The sequence below is a fragment of the Homo sapiens genome, chromosome 20 (assembly GCF_000001405.40).
Source record: "Homo sapiens chromosome 20, GRCh38.p14 Primary Assembly".
Taxonomy (NCBI): Eukaryota; Metazoa; Chordata; class Mammalia; order Primates; family Hominidae; genus Homo; species Homo sapiens.
In genome coordinates this window covers 3,218,217-3,241,011 of record NC_000020.11, presented here as the reverse complement: position 1 = coordinate 3,241,011, position 22,795 = coordinate 3,218,217, and the positions used below count along the sequence as shown (strand labels likewise).

Below are 22,795 nucleotides of genomic sequence, written 5' to 3'. Positions count from 1 at the left end.
TGTAGCAGAGAAGGGCTCAGTGCCAGTTCCTTTGAGAGACGGTCAGGGAGCGGACAGAGGGGGCCCATAGCCGACTAGGGGCGGCTTGGTCATGGGCTCCTCTTTCCTCAGTGGGCTGAGGGGTTAGGTCCTTTGAGGAGCGCTGAGGAGACTGTGGTAAGGGGAAGCGCCCTCCATCCCAGAGGCTTTCCTGGAACAAGTGGGTTGGAAGGACCAGGTGTTTGGGAGCTGCTGGGAGCAGGTGCAGAAGCCAAGGCATTCCCAGATGGGGGAGACTGGGGGTGGCAAGGTGGCTTTTCAGGGATCCAGCCTGCATGCCACCTATGCAGCCATGCTCCGGGGGCGACATCCGCCTGTGTCCTTCAGCTCTTCCTCAGCCTCCACCCGCCACCCGGGAGTCAGTGCCTGGACTGGAGCTCTAGCTGGAGGGCGTCTAGGAAAGGTCCCAAGGGGTGCGCAGGATGACCTGGTGTCTCTCCAGAGTCACCCCTGCTAAAATACTATGTGGCCAGCCCCAAGTCAGTTGCAGGTCATGGTGTTGGGATCTTCCACAAGGCCTCCTGGAGTCGCGCTGGGGGAGGGTGGGGTACTCAGTCTGTCGCAGAGCCCCAGGCCATCCGTCGCCAAGAGGAGCACTCCAGCGCTTCCCTCCTAATGCGTTCTTATCTTGCCGGGAGGAGAACTGGGCCAGCCTTACTCACCCAATCTATGCATGAGGCTTCCCCAACGCGCCAGAAGCCCTTCCTTCGCAGAGGTGGGCTTGCCCCGGCCTGTCCCCGTTCCTCTACCATGGTTAGGGCACAGTGGCCGAGGACTCCGTCCCAGCGCGGCTGAGCCGGAAAGCGATGGCGGCCGGAGGGGTCGGGAGGTTGGTTAGCGCTTTACGGAGCTGCGTGTTCCGTTTCCAAGGGCTGTAGAGCCTTCTACTGGGAGCCACCGTGGATCAGGCCAGGGGTTCGTCAGCTGCATTTGCCGGATCGCATCGCAGCACGCGCACCCACACGCGCACACGCCCTACTCGCAGGAGACTAAGCGCCCCGAAAAGGCGCGTCCCCGGGCGGGTCGCAGCCGGTCCAGGAAAGGGGACAGGGCGCAAGGGCCATTTGGGGAAGGAAAAAGGGGGCGAACCATGACCTTGACCTCATAGAAGGCCGAGGACGTGAAGAGGCTGGCAGATAAGTTGGCGAGGCTCGCAGCGAAAACCCAAAGCAGCCGAGCTCGGAGAGCGCCGTCTCAGCGGGCGAGGGCGTAGCCCGGGGAATGCACGGAGGTCCGTCTAGTCAGTCGGGGCGCGCTTCCTGGAGGAGGAGGAGAAGGACTTGCGGCCGGAGCTACCGGGATAAATGCAGGAGGCGGGGCAGCCAGCGGGCGTGGCCCTGCGGAGGTCCCCGGTCGAAAGGAGGAGACAGGGGCCGGCCGCGTACTTAAAGCGGACGCGGGGGAAGCCCTCCCGGGGTCTGCCTCAGTCGCACAGCTCGGTGGGCTCGTGGCGCAGTCGAACGTTTTCCCAGAAGCTCCCCGGCCCCGTCCAGCCCCTAAACTCGCGACGCTGGGTCTGCTGGGTCCGGCGCGCACAGGCTCGAAGGAGCCGGGTCTACTCGGTTTGGCCCAGCAGCTGCGGGCGGCGGGGAGCAGCCCAGCCCGGCTGGAGCAGCCTCCCGCGGGTGAGGGCGCGGGGCGGGCGGCCGGGTCCCAGCCCTCGGCAGCTCTGCCTACCGCGCCCGGGCGCGGCGTCTGAGCGGCATTAGGACCCAGGCGCGGCGTGGGGGTGTGTCGCCGGCTCCCGCCGCCGGCCCGCCCGAGTCGCCGAGTTTGGGGTCCAGAAGCGCCGGAGCGCCGCGTGAGGAGCCCGGCCGTGAGTGCGCGAGTGTGCCATGGCCGCGGCCACCAGGCGCGTGTTCCATCTGCAGCCGTGCGGTGGGTGCCTGAACCCGGGGGCGCGGCGGGAAGGCCGCCCGGGTCTCCGCCACCGTCTCCCGTCGGGGACCCCGGGGAGAACGCGGATGCCGTCTGCCTGCGCGGGCCGGGGCCGGTGGGCGAGAGGGCTGCGGGATTCCCAGCCGCGGGGAGGAGGGCGCGGGTGCGGGAGGCCCGGGCGCGGCTTCGCGGCCACCGCGCGCTTGGTTTCATTAGGGCTCTGCTGTCGCCGTCTTGAATTTCTTACCAGGTTTGAACAGCTGATGCAGCGGGTCGAGGGCGGGGAGCTCGAAAGTGGGCAGGGCGGAGCTGTGGGGCTCCCAGCGCCCCGAGCGCCGAGCTTTTGGGAGCCTGGCGGGCCGCCGCCTCGGAAGGTCTCATTTTACCTTCCGCCCGGGCATCTTCCCGTCCGGCGCCGCGGTGGGAGCCCCGGAACCCCTGGAGTTTTGGGAGTCCCGGGACCCCTGACCGTGCCCTGCGCGGCCGCAGCGGTTTCTCCCTTGCTCTGACACGGGAGGGCCAGCCCTGGGTCCCCGCCAGGACCCAGGTTTGTACGACCCTTTACCTGCACGTGGGCCGCCGGGACGGAAGCGGAGTGTGCACCGGCCCAACCCTCCCAGACCCTCGTCGCCCACGGCCTGGGACGCGCCCCAGCGCCCCCGCCCCCCACTTCAGGATGCAGCCCCGGCTCCCGCCCCGCGCCTGCATTCACATCCTGCGCCCCGACCCCCGGGGTCTCCGAGTCTGGAGGCGCTTTCCTCTCGTGCACGCGGCCCCTCCTGTCGCTTCCTTCCTCCGACAGCGAGGCACAAACAGCCGGGACCATCCGGGGACCGGCCCAGGGAGGGCGCAGCCTCCCCCGACCCATGTGTCCCTCAGATACTCCTCCCACCCCCAATTGTTCTCCCTTTTGGACCAACGGCTCTGGCTTCCAGGCGGCCGGGACGCGGTCCCAGGACTGGAGACCGTTGCCTGTCGGCCCCCGTGTGACCCGGGGCGCGTGACGGGGGTCGGGGGAACTGCGCCTGCAATGGGCGTTTATGGCCCCCAGGACCGGTCTGAGAGTGAGAAGAGGGATGTGCAGAGAGATCCCCCGCCTTGGCATCCGAGGAGAGAGGGGGAGAGGCCCGCTCGGGCCCGGTCCCTTCCTCTCGCTGCAGCGGGGCAGGGTTTTCTCAGGAAAACCTGGATTAGCGAACATGGTACTGGTACTAACTCGGTGGGAAGACATCCCTGGAACGTCTCTCCTCCTCGCCTCTGGCCCGCCTGGGCAGCCCCTAGCAGATGGGCTAAGCAATTGAATTTCTGAGATTAAGGCTGGCTTCCCCTGCTATGGGGCCCCCTCCCGAGCACTGTCCCCTGCTTCCCTTTCTCCCTAGGGTGGCGTGGGTTGCATCCCTCGGAAGAGCGAAGGAATGAGCCAGGTCGGGGGGCGGGGAGACAGGTGCACACAGGAGGTCCAGGGCTTGGTCCATGGGGCTGGTGACCTTTCTGCTTCCCTTGCAGAAAACTCTCCCACCATGTCGCAGAATGGATACTTCGAGGATTCAAGTGAGTACCTCTCGGGGAGTGTGTGTGTGCAGAGAGAGCTTGTCGGGCAAAAGCCTCCAGGGTGCATAGCCTACCCACCAGAGTCCTGTGGCTTTGCTCGCCTATCTGGGCCACTCTAGTGCTGGAATGCTTTTGGCTTCCACTCTTCGGGAAGCTAGACATGGGCGGATCCCCCGTGGACCTGAGAGGGCAGGCTGCCCATTCTCCTGGGCTACTTGGACCAGGTGAACCCTCTGGGATTCTTACCCAAGGTTTTCTGTGACAATGGCCTGTTATCTGACTAGCCTTGGGCCAAGAATTCTGTGTGCCCCTGTCCCTCTGTCCTCACCCAGCCCTGGAGGGAATATCTGTCGTTGTCTCTTTAAAGAAATATAAGGCCTCTGTGCTGCAGTCCCTCGGGCACCTTCCTGCTGTCCCTGCTTGTACCAGTCCAGCTGTCTTCCTCCTCATGTCTCTGGGCTGGCTTCAGGCTGTGTCCTGTGCCTAGCCCCATGAGTGACCTGACCATTCGAGGGTTGTTTGTAGAGCAGTGCGTAGACACAGGGCTGATGTTCCCTTACCCAGAGCCCTCAGGACATGGGGCTCTGTGTGCTAGGCTGCTGGTGGGCAGGTTACGTATGGGGCTGGGACTAGGACTTGGCATTGCAGGAGCCCCCCAGGAACCTGGTAGTGTCAGCTGGGCAGGTCCTTAATCTAGGGGACCTGAGCACTAAGTCTAAGGTAGAGCTGAGGGCATCAGGGGAAGAATGGGGGAAGAACGGGGCTGTGTGAAGGGCAGTGGAGGGGACTAGTGGGTGCTGGTTGAGGGGCAGAGGGGAGGCTGGGACAAGTTCGGGCCAGGGGAACCAGACAGTTTAAACAAGGCAAGCCTGACCCGGGGAGGAAGGAGTTTATCATGAGCTCCAGAACCAAAGCAGTGAGGACGTCTTTTGTTTTGTTTTGTTTTGTTTTGTTTTGTTTTGAGTCTCGCTCTGTCGCCCAGGCTGGAGTGCAGTGGTGTGATCTCGGCTCACTGCAAGCTCTGCCTCCTGGGTTCACACCAGCCTCCTGCCTCAGCCTCCCGAGTAGCTGGGACTACAGGCGCCCGCCACCACACCCGGCTAATTTCTTTTTGTATTTTTAGTAGAGACAGGGTTTCACCATGTTAGCCATTGTTAGCCAGGATGGTCTCGATCTCCTGACCTCGTGATCCGCCTGCCTTGGCCTCCCAAAGGCAAGGATGTCTTTTGACCTAATATTTCTTCTCTGGGCTCTGGAGGTAGTGCAGGCCTGGGCCTGGGAGTCACCAGTCCCTGGGGACTTTGATGCAGGAGGCACTAGGGCTTCCTACCCAGAAGGGGCCCAGGCTAAACTCAGGACACTGGGGGAACAGGGCCTGGGATGTGCCAAGGAAACTGGCGGCGGGAGTAGAAGTGAGTCAGGGTGAGTCACTCCCTGGCAGGTGCAGGCGTGCTGCTGACCCATCCTTGTTTCTGCACAGGTGTCTGTCAGGCATCAGTGGGGTCTGGGCTATAAGGGCCCCTTTCCTGGGAGTACCTACAAGTGAGGAACCTTAGGGGACCCACAAGACAGGAAGGGCTGCCAGTGGCCAGGGGTGAGGCAGGGATCTAGGAGGACTTCCTGGAGGAGGAGGTTCCAAGTGAGTCTTGAAAAAGGCCCTCCAGGGAGGGAAGCCCTCAGCTTGGAGGACAGGACCTTGCATGCCTAGGGTGCTGACCGGATGGCCTGAGGAGCCAGTGGTCAGGGCAGGGGGAGCAGGGCTGGCTCAGGCTGTGATCTGTAGGCTGCAGGGAGCCACTGCAGGGCTCAGGGCAGAGGAATATTTGCATGTTACCAGGAAATCTTCCTGTAGGAAGAGGGGTGTGCTGCTGGCCAGCTGCAGGAATTGAGGACCAAGGGGAGCAGGCTCTCACCTCTGGGGTCCCACATCCCACAGGTGCCATTACACACCCTCACTCTCCATGTGCCCTTACCCAGGGCCCCCAGAACATGAAGAGGAGCACGATGGGGGCAGGGCTGACATGAGGCCTTGGGGTCCTCTCCCCTGTCAGCCCCTGGCTCTGTTTCCCTGGTTTTCCTGCTCCCTAGACCTTGTCTGATACCTGTCCTGGGTCTCTCAGCCTCGATGCTTCTCCCCACCTGCCCTCCTGGGGAGGCGGAGCTCTAAGACCCTGTGCCCACAAGGCAGCGTGTGTGTGTGTGTGTGTGTGTGTGTGTGTGTGTGTGTGTGTGTGAGAGAGAGAGAGAGAGAGAGAGAGAGAGACGTGGATACTGCAGCTTCTCTGCCTTCCCTGTGTTCCCTACTTTGGGAGGGCAGGGGCCAGGCAGTCTCATCTGCATTATTGCACTCCGTGCCTGCCCCAATGTGTCTGGAGTGGACATGTTTTTCTCACGCTGAAGGGTCAAAGCTGCGCAGGGTCCTGGTCTCAGCGGCTAGGGAATGCTGGAGACTCACTTTGTGGCAGCTGCCATGTCCTGTGTGGGGCTGGGGCAGGACTAGAAGCTGCCTTCCTCGCCTATGGGATGGCCTCTCCCACCACGGCCCGAGAGTGGGACAGTCCAGGGGTCCCTGCTCCCTGGGCTTGGAGCCCCTCCTTCCTGTGTGTGGCACTTTAACAGCCAGGCCCTCTTGCTCTTGGGGGTCTCTAGGCTACTACAAGTGTGACACAGATGACACCTTCGAAGCCCGAGAGGAGATCCTGGGGGATGAGGCCTTCGACACTGCCAACTCCTCCATCGTGTCTGGCGAGAGTATCCGTTTTTTTGTCAATGTCAACCTTGAGATGCAGGCCACCAACACTGGTATGGGGGCTGCAGCAGGGGCAGACTGGGGGAAGGCACGGGACTGGGCAGGTGTGACTCGCCTTACTAAGAAAGACCTGAGGAGAGGGTGGCACCCTGAGCCCTCCCCGCTTTTCTCCGGCAGAGAATGAAGCGACTTCCGGTGGCTGTGTGCTCCTGCACACCTCCCGAAAGGTGAATGGCCTGTCCTGCAGGTGGTCCTGGGGCCTCTACCTGGGGGCTGAGGTGATGGCTTCCCTGAGAATCCTCCCGCTGCTCCCCTCTTCCCATGCCTCCAGGAGCAGCTCAACAGGGAGCTCGCACCAGCCCAGGGCTGGGGGCTGGGGGCTGGGGGCTGGACTGCTGCGGCTGGCTGGGAGGGAGGGACCAGGCAGTGACAGCATCTCATACATGGGCCCGTGTGGTTCTGTCCCTGGGGTCCCCTCAGTACCTGAAGTTAAAGAACTTCAAGGAAGAGATCCGTGCGCACCGCGACCTAGATGGCTTCCTGGCGCAGGCCAGCATCGTCCTGAACGAGACGGCCACCTCCCTGGATAACGTGCTGCGGACCATGCTTCGCCGCTTCGCCAGGGACCCTGACAACAATGAGCCCAACTGCAACCTGGACCTGCTCATGGCCATGCTCTTCACCGATGCCGGGGCACCCATGCGGGGTAAAGGTGAGGCCGGTCTCCCGGCCCGGGCGGGGGCGTTGGGAGGGGCTGTTGACCCACCACCCTCCCCCTCACTCTTTCCTCAGTCCACCTGCTGTCAGATACCATCCAAGGGGTCACCGCCACAGTGACAGGGGTGCGGTACCAGCAGTCGTGGCTCTGCATCATGTGAGTTGCCAGGCCACTTGGCCCCCCTTCTTGTCGCAGTGGAACTGGGTGTCCCATGTCCCCTGTGCCCTGCAGAGGCCAGCCCACCTGTGAGTCCTGGGGCTCTGGCGGCCCAACCAACTTGGGAGAAGAGGGCTGGAGCACTGCCAAGGAACGTCCCATTTGCTCTTCTTTTCCCTCCCTAGCAGAGGTCGCCAGGGGTCAAGGTCGAGGGGGTTCTGGGTCGGGGAGCCCCAGCTCCCTGGGGTGCAACTGTGCACTGTGTCCTCCCCGCCCCTGCCAGCTGTACCATGAAGGCCCTACAGAAGCGGCACGTGTGCATCAGCCGCCTGGTTCGCCCACAGAACTGGGGGGAGAATTCCTGTGAGGTTCGGTTCGTCATCCTGGTGCTGGCCCCACCCAAGATGGTGAGTGGGTAGTGCCGTGTCCTGGGGAAGAAGGAGGGCCCCGGGTTACCCGCCCTCTGCTTGGGGTCCCCTCCCACATGTCCTGGCCTCTGAAGGCCTGGTCCTCACCCTCCCCTTCGCCTCGGCCCTGTGGGTGTGTCAGAAACATGTTGCTAGGCCCGGCAAGTCCTCATGTCCCCGGGGATTGCCGAAAAGTTCGTATTTCCTTGACTGAAAGGAAACGCTTTTGACCACTATCCCTATTCAAACACGCGGCCTTCTCTGGCCTGCCCGCCCGCCAGCCCTTCTTTGACTTGGTTGACTTTGCGATTTGCTAGCTGAGGGTCCCTGCTCCTTCCTGGGCCACACACCCCCTGGCCGGGACACCATGCTTTTTGTGGGAGCCGGAACTGATACAATTTCGGGAGTCTTTTAAGGAAAAGGATTTAACAAGTCTCAACAGATGATTGCCAGGACCCCTCCCAAGGCCTTGGCAGCGCCTTCAGCTTCAGCTTCCCTTAGCTTCTTGTGCTCCTGCCCCTGGCCTTCTGTGTGCAAATGGGGTTCTCAGGGATCTCAGACATGGCGGGAACCTCCACAAATGCAACTGTGCTGGTGTGAGAGGAAGGGCAGCCCCTGGGTTGGAAGGAGTGGCCCCCAGCAGGGTGCCCACACAGAAGGAGCAATAGCCCAGAGCTGAGTTAAAGCCTGGTGCCTTGAGGCAGATCCCCCAGCCCGACACTGGGCTCCTCCTCAGGAGCATGGACTAGTTCTTTTGGGGTTTTGTATTTGTTTATTTGTTTGTTTTATTTATTTATCTTTGAGACAGAGTCTCACTCTGTCACCCAGGCTGGAATGTTGAGGTGTGATCTCAGCTCACTGCAACCTCTGCCTCCCAGGTTCAAGCGATTCTCCCGCCTCAGCCTCCCAAGTAGCTGTGACTACAGGCACCCGCCACCACCAAAAACTACAGCCAGCTAATTATTTTGTATTTTTAGTAGAGATGGGGTTTCACCATGTTGGCCAGGCTGGTCTTGAACTCTTGACCTCAAGTGATCTGCCTGCCTTAGCCTCCCAAAAAAGTTGGTATTATGGGCGTGAGCCACCATGCCCTGCCAGGCACGGGCCTCTTCTACAGCAAACATGCACAGTGCCCCGGGACTAGAGCTTTGAGCAACAGACGGGCAGACACTGCCCCTAGGTGAGCAGGTTGCTGTGATGAGGGCTGGACACTGAGTTCGTGAGTTCATGGTTCACGGACGGGCTTCACCTTGGCCGGGCGAGAGAGAGAGTGCCTGACGGGCTTGGACCCTCTCTGAAAGTCAAACCAGCAGACAGTGCAAATACCACTGGGGAAACGTAGCTGGGGAAACATTTTTCTCCACTGTGGTTTCATTATCTGTGATCACACAGACTTTTGTTGCTTAGGACAAAAGTAATATCTTGAGTTTATAAGAAATCATGAGTTTATAACAAAAATATAGATCGATGGTAGTTGCGGTGATCTGCTGACCTGGTTGAAATCATGGCAGAGTACACTAATGCCTGAACTTTGTGGAATAAAACCTGCTACCAGCATCTGGGCACAGTGGCTCGTGCCTGTAATCCCAGCACTTTGGGAGGCCTAGACAGATGGATTGCTTGAGGCCAGGAGTTTGAGACCAGCCTGGTCAACATAGTGAGACCTCGTCTCTACAAAAAGTTAAAAATTAAAAATTGCCTGGCATGGTGGTGCGTGCCTGTGGTCCCAGCTACTCAGGGGACTGATGTGGGAGAATCACTTGAGCCCGGGAGGTCGAGGCTACGATAAGCCGTGAGTGTGCCACTGCACTCAGCCTGGGTGACAGTGAGACCCTGTCTCAAAAAAACACAAAAAACAAACAGACAAAAAACCTGCTGCCAGTTCATGGGGAGAGCACCTTCACCTGCTCGGCCCGGGCAGGGCCTCCTCTGTTTCTAGGGGTGACTCCCATCCTCCACCCCTAGAAAAGCACTAAGACTGCGATGGAGGTGGCGCGCACGTTTGCCACCATGTTCTCGGATATCGCCTTCCGCCAGAAGCTCCTGGAGACCCGCACAGAGGAGGAATTCAAGGAGGCCTTGGTGCATCAGAGACAGCTGCTCACCATGGTGAGCCACGGTCCAGTGGCGCCGAGAACGAAGGAACGCAGCACAGTCTCCCTCCCTGCCCACAGACACCCAGAGGTACAGGGTAGAGGCCGGCGGGGGCCGGCAGGGTCGGCGGGGGCATGGGCCGGACAGGGCTAACAGGCGCTCTGTCCTCTCCTCCAGCCCCCAAAGTGCAAGGACTTTGTCCCTTTTGGGAAGGGCATCCGGGAGGACATCGCACGCAGGTTCCCCTTGTACCCCTTGGACTTCACTGATGGTACGTGGCCTCTGCTTTCCAGGCCTTGGGCCCACACGTGTGCCTGTCCTGCATCCCCAGCAAACCCTCTCTCCCATCCCCCATTCCTAGGCATTATTGGGAAAAACAAGGCTGTGGGCAAATACATCACCACCACCCTGTTCCTCTACTTCGCCTGCCTCCTGCCCACCATCGCTTTCGGGTCTCTCAATGACGAGAACACAGACGGGGCCATCGGTGAGGGGCTGGCGGTGGGCGGTGGGTGGGGGTATGCTGGGCTGGGCCCTGGGCTGCGGCGCCCACCTGACCTCCGCACCCCCACAGACGTGCAGAAGACCATAGCCGGGCAGAGCATCGGGGGCCTGCTCTACGCGCTCTTCTCTGGGCAGCCATTGGTGATTCTGCTGACCACCGCGCCCCTGGCGCTCTACATCCAGGGTGCAGTGGGGGCTGAGGCGGGAGATGGTGCCTGAGACCCCTGGTTCCTGCCGGGCCCTGACCCGCCCTGCCCCCTGCCTGCAGTGATTCGTGTCATCTGTGATGACTATGACCTGGACTTCAACTCCTTCTACGCATGGACGGGCCTGTGGAATAGTTTCTTCCTTGCGCTTTATGCCTTTTTCAACCTCAGCCTGGTCATGAGTCTCTTCAAGAGGTGACTGGCCCTTCCGTGAGCTGCTGGGACCCTCAAGGCTTGGGATCTGGTTCAGCCCCCTGTAACCCCAGGGTGGTGGGGGTGCCCCCACCATATTGCTGCCCCAAGGGGCTGGGGTGGGCTCAGGCAAGGCCTGGGGCCCTGGCCTTCTTCCTGGCAGGGGGAGGCAGGGGACTGTGCAGGGGCTCAGGGAGGCCTCCCCCACCTGCCCCCTGACCACACCCACTCTGATGAGGCTCATGGCCTCCTGGCAGGTCGACGGAGGAGATCATCGCCCTCTTCATTTCCATCACGTTTGTGCTGGATGCCGTCAAGGGCACGGTTAAAAGTGAGTGCGGCTGGGGGCCACCTGCTGAACAGGGCGCTCAGCCGAGATGGGAGGTTCTGCACTGCCCCTGGCTGGGGGCACATAGGACTGGCTCAAGCTGAGTGTGTGCCCGTGATCAAGGGTGCGGTGCTCTGGGAGCCTTGGGCTGGCAGAGGGCAGAGCCCTCCACGCTGGAGGGTGACGGGGCCGCCCCAGGTGGGACCAGCCGTGGGGGCAGAGGCACTGGGCCGACTGTGATGGGGTGTCAGAGATGGGACAGGGACAGTGGGCAGGAGTGTGGGTGCATGGGCACGTCGGCAGGGTCCCCTCACCTTCCCCCTGGAGCCCTTTCTCCCTGAGATCCCCTCCCTCCAGGGCCTCCCCCTGCCACACGCTGGAGAGGGCTGAGGCCTGTGGGTGTGTGTCCACAGTCTTCTGGAAGTACTACTATGGGCATTACTTGGACGACTATCACACAAAAAGGACTTCATCCCTTGTCAGCCTGTCAGGCCTCGGCGCCAGCCTCAACGCCAGCCTCCACACTGCCCTCAACGCCAGCTTCCTCGCCAGCCCCACGGAGCTGCCCTCGGCCACACACTCAGGCCAGGCGACCGCCGTGCTCAGCCTCCTCATCATGCTGGGCACGCTCTGGCTGGGCTACACCCTCTACCAATTCAAGAAGAGGTGAGGGGCTGCATGGGGAGGGGAGGGGCCGCATGGGTCAAAGGCTGTGCTCATGCACCTGCTGTCCCCAGCCCCTACCTGCACCCCTGCGTGCGAGAGATCCTGTCCGACTGCGCCCTGCCCATCGCGGTGCTCGCCTTCTCCCTCATCAGCTCCCATGGCTTCCGGGAAATCGAGAGTGAGTTGGGGCCGGGCGGTGGGTGACGTGGGGTAGCTCCCCAGGCGCTGCAGGCATAGCAGTAGCCTGTCCCCTACTGCAGTGAGCAAGTTCCGCTACAACCCCAGCGAGAGCCCCTTTGCGATGGCGCAGATCCAGTCGCTGTCCCTGAGGGCCGTCAGCGGTGCCATGGGCCTCGGCTTCCTGCTGTCCATGCTCTTCTTCATCGAGCAGAACTTGGTGGCCGCCTTGGTGAATGCACCGGAGAACAGGTGTGGAGGGTGGGTGAGGGTGGGGTGGGCGGGGCCCGGGCCTCTGCTGTGGGGCTCTGTCCACGAGTGCCCGTCTGCTGCAGGCTGGTGAAGGGCACTGCCTACCACTGGGACCTCCTGCTCCTCGCCATCATCAACACAGGGCTGTCTCTGTTTGGGCTGCCTTGGATCCATGCCGCCTACCCCCACTCCCCGCTGCACGTGCGAGCCCTGGCCTTAGTGGAGGAGCGTGTGGAGAACGGACACATCTATGACACGTGAGTGTGAGGCTGGCAAGAGCCGTGGACCCTGAGGAGTGGGGAGCCTCTGGCCACATGGGACATAGGGAGGAGTGAGGCCCTGTGGACAGGGGCGCAGAGGTGACACTCGCGGCTCGGGCCACCGCAGGATTGTGAACGTGAAGGAGACGCGGCTGACCTCGCTGGGCGCCAGCGTCCTGGTGGGCCTGTCCCTGTTGCTGCTGCCGGTCCCGCTTCAGTGGATCCCCAAGCCCGTGCTCTATGGCCTCTTCCTCTACATCGCGCTCACCTCCCTCGATGGCAACCAGCTCGTCCAGCGCGTGGCCCTGCTGCTCAAGGAGCAGGTGAGCGCTTGGCCCTGCGAGGGAGTGGCGTGGGTGGGGACACAGCCCCATGCCTGCCCACACCCGGTCCCTGCCGCCCACAGACTGCGTACCCCCCGACACACTACATCCGGAGGGTGCCCCAGAGGAAGATCCACTACTTCACGGGCCTGCAGGTGCTTCAGCTGCTGCTGCTGTGTGCCTTCGGCATGAGCTCCCTGCCCTACATGAAGATGATCTTTCCCCTCATCATGATCGCCATGATCCCCATCCGGTACAGGCGGGTGGGCAGTGGGCAGGAGGGGCCCAGTCTAGGTGTGGAGAATGGGCGGGCTGGGGCAGCGGCTGGGAGGAGGGGTCCCACCTAGGGGCGGAGAATGGGCGGGTTGGGGTGGGTGCCCAGGAGGAGGGGTCCTGCCTAGGGGTGGAGAGTGGGCGGGCTGGGGAGGCTGGCGGGCAGGAGGAGCCCAGCCTAGAGGTGGAGAGTGGGCGGGCTGGGGTGGGTGGTGGGCAGGAGGGGCTCCAGTCTAGGAGTGGAGAGTGGGTGGGCTGGGGGTAGGCGGGCGGGGAGGAGAGGCCTAGCCTGGCCCTGTGGGTGGGCTGGGGTGGGCTGGGATGGGTGTCCACTGCCTTCTCTCTGACCCAGGCTCATCCTCCTGTCCCTCCCTCCCCACAGCTATATCCTGCTGCCCCGAATCATTGAAGCCAAGTACTTGGATGTCATGGACGCTGAGCACAGGCCTTGACTGGCAGACCCTGCCCACGCCCCATTCGCCAGCCCTCCACGTCCTCCCAGGCTGGCTCTGGAGCTGTGAGGGGAGGTGTAGGTGTGTGGGTGACTGCTCTGTGCTGCGCCTTCTCATGGCTGACTCAGGCCTGGGGCATCTGGGCATTGTAGGGGTGCAGTGGTATGTGCCCACCCCTCTCCCATTATCCTTTAGCTTTAGGCCAAGAGCGTTGCTCAGGGCAGCTTCTGCCCAGGGTGGGTGGGACTGAGCAGGATGGATTTTCTTTTGATAAAAGAGTCGATGCCTGAAAGAGAAACCATTTCCTTGATTGTGTAAGGAACTTGCTGGACGCACATTAGAGAATAAAGCTCCTGTTTCTAGGCTCCTATGTGCCACCTGTGTCCCTGCTACTGCCACTCCACCCCCACTCTGGGGAGGGGAAGCCCTCCCTGGGGAAGTGGAATGCAAGGGACAGAGTTTGTGGAGTGCCACCTGTGGTCTGTCACCTCCAACGTCGCACAGTGGGTGCTGGCCCAACAGTGAAACATGGAAGATCCAGGAGGCCTTCGCATGGCCATTTCTCCAGGGACCTGCAGGGAAAGCGTTCTGGGAACAGCATGTGCAAGGGTCCAGAGGAGCGAGGGCTTGGGGCCACTGAGGCGCTGTGGCTGGTGAAGAGCAGTGGGGCGGGAGGGACCATCAGGGTGACAGCAAAGGGCCCTGTGACTCTCAGATGAAAGCTGCCTGCCGGGAGGCCGAGGCTTCGTGTGGAGCACTTGTGAACCATCCCATCTGTTGTGCGGATCCTGGATTTTACAGGGCAGGGGCAGCACTGGTGGCGATGGAGGGAGGTGGGAGGACTGCCGACGGCAGGACACGGGGTGGGAATGGTTTGACGGAGGGAGAAGGTGCAGTGTTTCTGGCTTGCTCATTTGTTGGTGGGTCAGGGTCTCCCAATGGCAGCCGACAACAGGGAATATGGCTCTGAGGCTCAGGGGAGTGCCGGGTGCGCAGCATCAGTGGTCAGCAGGAACACCTGGGGCTCACATCACCTCCTGGACTGGCTTGACACATGCCCCATGGACTAAGTTGGCCGACAGAAGAGATTGGCTGCATCTAAAACTGAAAATATATCTGAAATATGCAAAGAATTCCTGCAAACCAGCAAAGGACAGCAGCCCCAACAGAAGAGGCAGAGGCCGTGAACAGGGGAAGAAGGAGGCCCAACCGTAACAGGAGTAGCGAGAGGTGCTCAGACCCCTTGGTAATTAGAGAAACGTAAGCCCACATGAGACGCCACCTTACACTGGGTAGCCTGGTGCTGAGTGGGAGATCAGGAGCCCCCAGGGCCCCGAGAACCAATCCAGGTGGGTATGAGCATGCTCTCCACCCTGCTGTCTGGGGACGGGTAGCGAGTGTGGAGAAACCAACTCAAAACGTTTTCCTCCGCTCTCACTGTGCACAACAGTCAACCCAGAAGACTTCTGTGACCACGCGAGGGATTTGTCACGGGACAGCTGCTGGGTGCCCACCAATTCAATTCAATTCAACCTAACTGCTGCCTGCCAGGAGGTAGCTTCAGAAACCCCAAGTTGAGGGCTCAGTCCCACGAGACCACCCCTAACTTCCCACCAGTCTGAGGTCTGGGCCTGCAGAACTTGACACACTGTCTTCAACTTGGGGTTCCCACGACTCCTCTTTTAGGTTCAATTAATTTGCTAGAGTGGTTCACAAGTCAGGGAAACATTTACTTATATTTAGCAGGTTTTAATAATTTTGTTGTTGTTGAGACAGCGTCTCACTCTCAGTGTGCAAGGGCGTGATCTCGGCTCACTGCAACCTCCGCCTCCTGGGCTCAAGCGATTCTCATGCCCCAGCCTCCCAAATAGCTGGGATTATAGGTGCCTGCCACTATGCCTGGCTAATTTTTGTATTTTTAGTAGAGACGGGGTTTCACCATGTTGGCCAGGCTGGTCTTGAACTCCTGACCTCAAGTGATCTGCCTGCCTTGGCCTCCCAAAGTGCTGGGATTACAGGCATGAGCCACCAAGCCCAGCCTAAATTTTTTATTTTTTTATTTTTTAAGGGTTGGGCATTGATGGAGTTCCCAGTGATGAATAAGAGCTGAATGGGCCCAGGGCCTCAGCCCCACCCTACTGGCTTACTAAAAAGGCTATTACGGAGAATTCAGATGAAGAGATGCACGGGGCGAGGTGTGGGGGAAGGGGCACAGAGCTTGTGTGCCCTCCCCGGGGTGTCACCCTCCAGGAACCCCCACATGGTCGGCTATTCAGAAGCTCCCCAAACCCTGGCCTTTTGGGTTTTTATGGAGGTCTCATTATGCAGGCATGATTGAATAAACCACTGGCCACTGGTTATCAACTGAACCTTCAGCCCTGCCCCTCCCTGGAGGTGTGGCGGGGGGTGGAGACCGAAAGTCCCAGTCCTCTAGTCCTGTCTTGGTCTTTCCATAACCAAGCTACCTAGATGCTGCCAGCCACCTCATTAGCACACAAAAAGACATCAGTGTGGAGTTTCTGAGGATTTTAAAGTTGTTTGCTAGGAAAGGGGTCAAAGACCAAATACACATGTTTTTTTTAATGAGACAGGGTCTCACACTGTTGCCCAGGCTGGAGTGCAGTGGCGCAATCACGGCTCACTGCAGCCTCCATTTCCCTAGGCTCGGGATCCTCCCACCTCGGAATCCTGAGTAGCTGTGTCCACAGGCACGCACCACCATGCCCAGCAAATATTTGTATTTTTGCAGAGACAAGGTTTTGCCATGTTGCACAGGCTGGTTATGAAGTCCTGGGCTCAAGCGATCCTCCCACCTTGGCCTTCCAAAGTGCTGGGATTACAGGTGTGAGCCACCTTGCCTGGAACCAGATATATACTTCACAGTATCACAGGTAGCTAAAGTAAAAAAAATGGCCAGAAAGTGTTGTGTGCACCCAGGACAAAATTCTGGAGGAGCTGAACAGGAAACACAGAGAGGTGCCCTGCCCCAAGCCTATGTACCCACCCCACCCAGGCAGCATGTGATTCTTCTTTGGAGTCCCCCATCAGTAGCCTGGGTGTTCCCTGCACAGGGGGGCTACATCCATGATCAACTGGCAAGGAGCAGGCAGGCCCCCAGCACCCCATGTCTGAGGCCCAGCCAGACATCTCCCACCCACAAGGAGGCTCAGGAGGCTGGGCAGGGACGCAGCACCTCCTGGGGATTTAACCCAGCCGGGGCTTGCAGGCAAGAGGGGAGTGAAGGAATGACACTCTGTCCTCACCCAGGGCCGTCCTGCTGGATGGAGTCACAGGGACGGCAGGGGCCTCTCCAGAGCTGCCTGTGGGCACAGAAGCAAGCCTGGGGGTGCCCCACCAGCCTGAGCCCATCACGCCCCCCTTGAATATCCTTGGGGTTGAGCACTCTGACAACGGAGCCACCTGGAGAGGTCCCTTCCAGGGAATGGCTTCGCCAGGGCACAGAGTAAGGGCGTGTGGCATAAGCAGGGCCTCCCGAGGGGCCTGCAGCCCGCAGGCTGAACTGTGGCGATCACGCCGAGTGGGGTCGAGGACTCCAGCCCCTCCCCACCATAAAAATGAACTGGCCATTGTAATTGTAAACCAACATTTTCGCGGCTCTGATGTGTAACAGCATAAGGCAAAAGCACTGGGCGTGCCACACTACCCAGCCCCCAACCCAGCAAGGCTTCATGGAGGCCCTGGCACTACCTGCGGGTGGGGGGCAGCATGGATCCAGGGTGGAGGTCAGCCCGCAATCCATGCCATTGAATGAGGCAAGAACTCGAGTGGAGACGTAACACTCCAGCTCACAGTGGCATCCGAATGCCTTCCACACGGTGCTGCCCGTGTCCCCATCCCCACCCCCACCCAAAAAACTTCCTGCACCTGCCAAAGGAGACTGAGACAGACACCTGCCTGGGGCAGGGTTCAAAACAGATATAGCTGGTTTATTTTGGAAACAAGTCTCATCCAGAAATGTTATTTACTGCATTTAAAAACCATGGAAGGCGATTTGCATGGTTCCTCCCCACGCCCTCACTCCCACCAAGTACAGCTTTACCACCCAAGGTCCTTTCAGGACCCCAGGCCTGGCGGCTGTAGGAGAGAGCAGTGAATCCTAAGGGCAAGAGAATGGCGTCCACTTGCCAGAGTTTCTCAGAGCAGAGCCAGCTGCTCCTCCAGACAGGCCGGTGAGGCTACTCGACACCCTCACAAAGGGGAAACCCTGAAGGAAGTACTTCAGGGGGTGCCTGCCCGATGCGGGAGGTTTTGGGCTAGCCCTCCCCAGATCCCCGGCCTGAGGGGCCTCCTCCAGCTGCAGAAGTCAAGCTGCCAAACTGCCAAAGTACTCCTGCAGCTCCAGCAGGGCCCGGAAGCGATGGGAGACAGCGTTCTTCTCCGCCTTAGGCATCTCTGCGTACCTGAGGGGTGACAGTAGCAGCTCAGGGAGCCCAGATTCAGGAAGGAAGTGCACCCCCTCCCAACCCTACCTCATCTCATCCCTGGAGACCAAAGCTCACAGACCCCAAGGAAAGGGGAGTGGGGCCCAGCAGCTCCTGGCAGCCAGTGAATTTTTAAAAATCGGATAAAGTTTTCAATTCCCCTGTAGGCAGAAACCCCCATGAATGAGCATGGAGGGGTATTAAACTTGCTCTAGTGTGCCCAAAAGTCATTAAGGGAAGCTGGGGACAGGGGGGGATGAGCTGCATGTTTGATCAGCTTTGTCATCTGTTGACAGGAAGCAGTGGGGCCTGACAGAGCAAACACAGCAGTCTCCTCTCATGCGCTGAGGGCGGGGGAGCACTTGAACAGCTGGCCAGGGGCCCGACCTCCATGCCAGCACCGCAGTGAGGTGAGAATCCCATACCCCGCCCGTGGCCTGCAGACTGCTCTGTGCAAGACGGCGGCCAGTAGCCACTAGCCAGGTGTGGCTATTTAAATGAATTAACGCTGAACAGAAATATTCCGTTTCTGGGTCTCACCACACGCAAGTGCTCCACAGCCCCATATGGCTAGTGGCTGGTTCCACAATGTCCTCACCCCTGCTGGGGCTATTGTGGGGCCTCACACTGCGCTCCCTAAGGGCCCCTCCAGCTTGGAAAGCCTGATTCCAACAATGGCCCGTGCCTTGTGTGAACAAGGGGCGATTTGTGCGAACTACAGAGAACAACTGGTACTTGGAGGGCATAAAATAGTGCCCACCAGAGGCTGCAAAAGCCTGGACATTTTCCCAACCTAGATGGGGGTCAGAAAATGATGCCATAAAACTGTCAGATGTGGCCAGGCGCGGTGGCTCACGCCTGTAATCCCAGCACTTTGGGAGGCCGAGGTGGGCGGATCACCTGAGGTCAGTTTGAGACCAGCCTGGCCAACATGGTGAAACCCCGTCTCTAACAAAAATAACAAAAATTAGCTGAGCACGGTGGTGCGTGCCTGTAATCTCAGCTGAGACAGGAGAATTGCTTGAACCTGGGAGGCAGAGGGTGCAGTGAGTTGAGATCACGCCGTTGCACTCCAGCCTGGGCAACAAGAGTGAAACTCCATCTCAAAAAAAAAAAAAAAAAAGTCAGATGTACAGCTTACAAGCCAAGGCCAGAAAGGCGAAACCACTGGCTACACAGCTGATGTGGGGTGACCTGGAGCCTTAGAGCCCAGGACTCTCAGTGCCATCTGGCTGCCTCCCCAACCATGGACTGGGCCACCCAGATTCCTAGTGTCCACCCCAGCAGAGCTGCCTGTGGCTGGAACAGCACCCTGGGAGCCTCCCCTGCCCATATCCGCATGCCTGCACTTGGGCGGGGCACTGGCCCAACCCAAACCATGGCTGTACCAACCCCACACCCCAGGGAAGAAAAGCAGGGCTCCTTACGTCTGCTCATATCCATCAGGCTGAAAGCAGGGGTCCCAGCCAAAGTCCTGGCAGCCTCTGGGTGCCACGATCCGGCCCTGCCACAGGAAAGGGGGGACAGGTGTGTAACTGGGTCCAGAGGACAAGCACGAGGAGGGCAGTGGCCAGTATGAGTTTGGTGAGTCTGTGAATTTGATTTGACCCAACTTACGCAAAATGTAGTTGCAAGGCCCCTACAGCACCTGCAAATGTTTGCTGAATACAATAAAAAGCAGAGCGGGGCAGCTCTTCCCTCACACACAGGGAGGAGGCATGGACCCACAGGACCACCAGCACCTCCGGGGCCACGCGCCCTCGCCAGCCACACCCGGGACAAATTGGGACATCACTGAAGAACAATGAGGCTACTTTGAAAGATAGACAGAAAGAAAGATAGACAGAAAACGTTTTCTCCTAATAGGAAGCTAAGTACCCTGAACTCCGTGGACAAGCCAGATGCCGGCTACTATGACAGCGTTCCTGAAAATACAAGGAAGACTTTAACAATAAGATGAAACACCGCAACAGGAAGCAGGTACCCAACTCCCCACTTCATGAACACATTAGTGAGTACAATACGTACTGGCTGTAGTAGGGAAATTCCACAGTGAAAATGTTAGAAAAAGAACAAATTGTAATCCAGTGACATGAAATGTCATGTTGTTATCAAAGTAAAAAAAAAAAAGAAAGAAAAGAAAAAGAAAATCTGGCCAGGCGCGGTGGCTCATGCCTGTAATCCCAGGACTTTGGGAGGCTGAGGTGGGAAGATCACTTGAGCCCAGGAAATTGAGACCAGCCTGAGCCACGTGGCAAAGGCGAAACCCCATCTCTACAAAAAATACAAAAATTAGCCTAGCCTGGTGGTGTAAGCCTGTAGTCCCAGCTACCTGGTGGGAAGACTGCTTGAGCCCAAGAGGTCGAGGCTGCAGTGAGCTGTGATCCAGTCCGGGCGACAGACAGAGACAAACACTCCAAACAAACAAACAAACACTCCAAAAAACAAACAAAAAAACCCAAAAGATTCTAACTGAAAAAAATACAAGGGACCAGGTGTGGTAGCTCACGCCTGTAATCTCAGCGCTTGGGGAGGCCGAGGAGGGAGGATGGTTTAAACCCAGGAGTTCGAGACCAGTCTGGGCAACACAGTCAGACTCTATCTCTACCAATTTTTTTTTTTTTTTTAATTAGCCAGATGTGGTAGCTCACACCTGAGGTCCTAGCTACTCGGAAGGCTGAGGTGGGAGGATGACTTGAGCCTGAGAGATCAAGGCTGCTATGAACGGTAGTCATGCCACTACACTCCAGCCTGGGTGACAAAGCAAGACCCTGTCTCAAAAACATTTTTTTTTACTCTTTAAAAAATACAACGGAGGTGGTACATGATTGGGATTAGTCACATAGATGCCAAGTAATTTAGACCCAAAGGCAAATTCTGCTTCTGCCGTGAGGAGCTGCGTGACTAAGGCCAGTTACTGAACCTCAACCACGCAACAAATGTTTTTTGCTCACGCCTATAATCCCAGCTACTCGGCAGGCTGAGGCAGGAGAATTGCTTGAACCCAGGAGATGGAGGTTGCACTTTGGGAGAATGAGGCCAGCGGATCACTTAAGGTCGGGAGTTCAAGACCAGCCTGGGCAACATAGTGAAACCCTGTCTCTACCAAAAATACAAAAATTAGCCGGGTGTGGTGGTGCACGCCTGTAGTCCCAGTTACTCTCCAGGGTGGGAGATCACCTGAGCCTGGGAGGTGGAGGCTGTCGTGAGCAGTGATAGGCAGTAGGGGGTGTTGAATACATCTCACGGAAGGAATAAGTTTGGGCAAATAATTAAGGTTTGTTTTTTTTTTTTTTTTTTTGAGACTGGGTCTCACTCCGTCACTCCATGGCTGGAGTGCAGGAGTGCGATCATAGCTCACTGTCCCGTCAAACTCCGAGGCTCAGGTGATCCTCCCACCTCAGCCTCCCAAGTAGCTAGGACTACAGGTGTGCACCACCATGTCCGGCTATTTATTTATTTTTGAGACAGGGTCTGGCTATGTTACCCAGGCTGGTCTCAAACTCCTGGCCTCAAGCAATCCTCCTGCCTTTGCTTCACAAAGTGCTGGGATTACATGTGTGAGCCTCTGTGCTCAGCCTCTTTTTTTTTTTTTTTTGGAGACGGAGTCTCACTCTTGTTGCCCAGGCTGGAGTGCAGTGGCGAGATCTCAGCTCACTGCAACCTCCGCCTCCTGGGTTCAAGTGATTCTCCTGCCTCAGCCTCCCCAGTAGCTGGGATTACAGGTGCCTGCCACCATGCCCAGATATTTTTTGTATTTTTAGTTGAGACGGGGTTTTGCTGTGTTATCCAGGCTGTTCTTGAACTCCTGACCTCAGGTGATCCGCCCGCCTCAGCCTCCCAAAGTGCTGGGATTACAGATGTGAGCCATCACGCCCGGCCTCATTTTAAAATTTTTTGCAAAGATGGGGTCTTGTTATGGTGTCCAGGCTGATCTTGAACACCTGGGCTCAAGAAAGCCTCCCGCTGGGGCCTCGCAAAGTGCTAGGATTACAGGTGTAAATCACCAAACCTGGCCAAGAATTAACATTCTATGCTTGAACCCTGGAGGCGGAGGTTGCAGTGAGCCGAGACGACACCACTGCACTCCAGCCTGGGCAACACAGCAAGACTTTGTCTCAAAAAAAAAAAAAAAAAAAAAAAAAAAAGAATTAAGATTCTATTATACATAAACATGAAAAGCTGGAAAGGCTGAGAGATAGTCAAGCACCTTGGCAGTTGAATAAGGAAATCTGAGGTTAGAGAAGTCTGGGCTATAGATGTAGCTTTGATCCAAGTGTGGTTTCTCACTAACAAAAAATAAATAAATAAATAAAATAAACAGAAAAAAATAGCTTTGGGAATTGTCACCTTCAGTTTGCACTTCTGGGTCTATCAGGCCTCAGGAGCTGTTAGCCAACTGTTTCCCTGAAACAACAGCCTCAGGGGTCAAACAGGTTTCAGAATTGACAACACTTCCATTGTCCTGCCCAGGGGCACCCCTCAGCAAGGCGTAGGCAACTACTCTGGCCCCAGGGAACCCTTTCCACCACCCTCCTAGGATCCACAGCACTTCTACCTATGCTGCGCAGGGGAGCCTCTCAGCAAGGCACAGATATCTCTGGCCCCAAGGCGCCCCTCCCACCACCCTCCCGCAGACTCGGGGCGGTCGGCTCGGGTCGCGGCACCCCCTGGCGGCGCGCGGCGGGAACTGCATCAAGGTGGGTACGCACCGAGGTCCGGCCCCTGAACAGGCGCACGGGCTGGCTTGGGTCCCCGGTGCTGAGTGCAAACGTGCAGAGCGCATAGGCTGACTTGTCCTCGAACCCGGCCAGGAGCTGGTGGAGACCTGCGGGTGGGCAGTGAGGGCTCAGTGCATCCCTAATGGCCAACTCCCACCCCCACTCCCAAGACGCCCACTAAGGGTGGGGAGGGAGGAATTCCCTAAAAGGGGAAATTAGGTCTCAATTGGGGTAGCGGGGGCGGCAGAGCCCAAGGCAGTGGGACTAGGCTTGAAATGGAAGTCTCTGGGCATTCTCGCTTCCCTCTGGCACAGGCTGACGATACAAGGCTTTATTTAAAGTCAGAAAACTAGCCAATGCAGTGTGGACCTTGTTTGATTTCCTGATTCAAAACTAACCAACTGTAG

General features: G+C 58.5%; 2 protein-coding genes across 35 annotated transcripts in view, besides 4 other annotated features; one reads left to right on the top strand and one right to left on the bottom strand.

Moving 5' to 3' along the window:
* SLC4A11 (solute carrier family 4 member 11) lies at positions 1,453 to 13,595 on the top strand. Of its 20 annotated transcripts, XM_017028096.2 has the most exons (21): positions 1,822 to 1,917; positions 2,969 to 3,119; positions 3,424 to 3,468; positions 6,118 to 6,270; positions 6,395 to 6,444; positions 6,698 to 6,929; positions 7,010 to 7,091; positions 7,375 to 7,498; positions 9,464 to 9,682; positions 9,770 to 9,863; positions 9,954 to 10,079; positions 10,167 to 10,280; positions 10,365 to 10,497; positions 10,752 to 10,825; positions 11,236 to 11,488; positions 11,560 to 11,666; positions 11,749 to 11,917; positions 12,001 to 12,174; positions 12,305 to 12,500; positions 12,584 to 12,753; positions 13,156 to 13,595. In XM_017028096.2, the coding sequence occupies exons 3-21, from the start codon at positions 3,438 to 3,440 to the stop codon at positions 13,223 to 13,225; spliced, it is 2,571 nt and encodes an 856-aa protein (XP_016883585.1). In that variant the 5' UTR covers positions 1,822 to 1,917; positions 2,969 to 3,119; positions 3,424 to 3,437; the 3' UTR covers positions 13,226 to 13,595. The 20 variants fall into 20 exon arrangements, 17 of the variants coding, with proteins under 17 accessions (NP_001387206.1, XP_047296499.1, XP_016883585.1 ...); NM_001400277.1 differs by lacking the exons at positions 1,822 to 1,917; positions 2,969 to 3,119 and adding an exon at positions 1,453 to 1,664 and having other exon boundaries at positions 13,156 to 13,590; NR_135000.1 differs by lacking the exon at positions 2,969 to 3,119 and having other exon boundaries at positions 1,822 to 2,032; positions 11,306 to 11,488.
* Positions 1,573 to 1,732: a silencer, noted in NCBI's record as "silent region_12617". NCBI's record gives its function as "represses an Ori minimal core promoter by ATAC-STARR-seq in GM12878 lymphoblastoid cells {active_cell/tissue: GM12878}" and the evidence as "EXISTENCE:reporter gene assay evidence [ECO:0000049][PMID:35858748]".
* Positions 1,833 to 2,012: a silencer, noted in NCBI's record as "silent region_12616". NCBI's record gives its function as "represses an Ori minimal core promoter by ATAC-STARR-seq in GM12878 lymphoblastoid cells {active_cell/tissue: GM12878}" and the evidence as "EXISTENCE:reporter gene assay evidence [ECO:0000049][PMID:35858748]".
* Positions 10,377 to 11,159: an enhancer, noted in NCBI's record as "H3K27ac-H3K4me1 hESC enhancer chr20:3210499-3211281 (GRCh37/hg19 assembly coordinates)". NCBI's record gives its function as "activates a minimal SCP1, AML or CMV promoter by ChIP-STARR-seq in naive H9 embryonic stem cells {active_cell/tissue: H9 hESC(naive)}" and the evidence as "EXISTENCE:reporter gene assay evidence [ECO:0000049][PMID:30033119]".
* The window catches only part of ITPA (inosine triphosphatase), a 23,385-nt gene continuing 14,152 nt past the window's right edge, over positions 13,563 to 22,795 (bottom strand). For 10 of the 15 annotated variants that reach the window (NR_052000.2, NR_052002.2, NM_001424409.1 and 7 more), the window contains 3 exons: positions 22,380 to 22,495; positions 19,095 to 19,171; positions 17,152 to 17,646 (listed from right to left, as the gene is read on the bottom strand). Coding sequence is in view for 13 of the 15 variants with exons in the window: in NM_001324237.2 (NP_001311166.1) it covers positions 17,465 to 17,646; positions 19,095 to 19,171; positions 22,380 to 22,453 (333 nt within the window). In the remaining 2 variants the exon portion in view is untranslated. Of the gene's footprint in view, positions 14,330 to 17,151; positions 17,647 to 19,094; positions 19,172 to 19,545; positions 19,593 to 21,787; positions 22,075 to 22,379; positions 22,496 to 22,795 lie in introns of those variants that run through there. The other 5 variants (XM_047440139.1, NM_001424408.1, XM_006723565.4 and 2 more) reach the window with 3 other exon arrangements.
* Positions 22,141 to 22,410: a silencer, noted in NCBI's record as "silent region_12615". NCBI's record gives its function as "represses an Ori minimal core promoter by ATAC-STARR-seq in GM12878 lymphoblastoid cells {active_cell/tissue: GM12878}" and the evidence as "EXISTENCE:reporter gene assay evidence [ECO:0000049][PMID:35858748]".

Excerpts from the sequence above, each read along its gene's own strand:
- SLC4A11 (NM_001174090.2), top strand. The coding sequence starts at position 2,948 with ATGGGCGTTTATGGCCCCCAGGACCGGTCTGAGAGTGAGAAGAGGGAT. Across the intron at positions 6,271-6,394 it reads GATGCAGGCCACCAACACTG|AGAATGAAGCGACTTCCGGT; the intron begins GTATGGGGGCTG and ends TTTCTCCGGCAG. Across the intron at positions 10,826-11,235 it reads CGTCAAGGGCACGGTTAAAA|TCTTCTGGAAGTACTACTAT; the intron begins GTGAGTGCGGCT and ends GTGTGTCCACAG.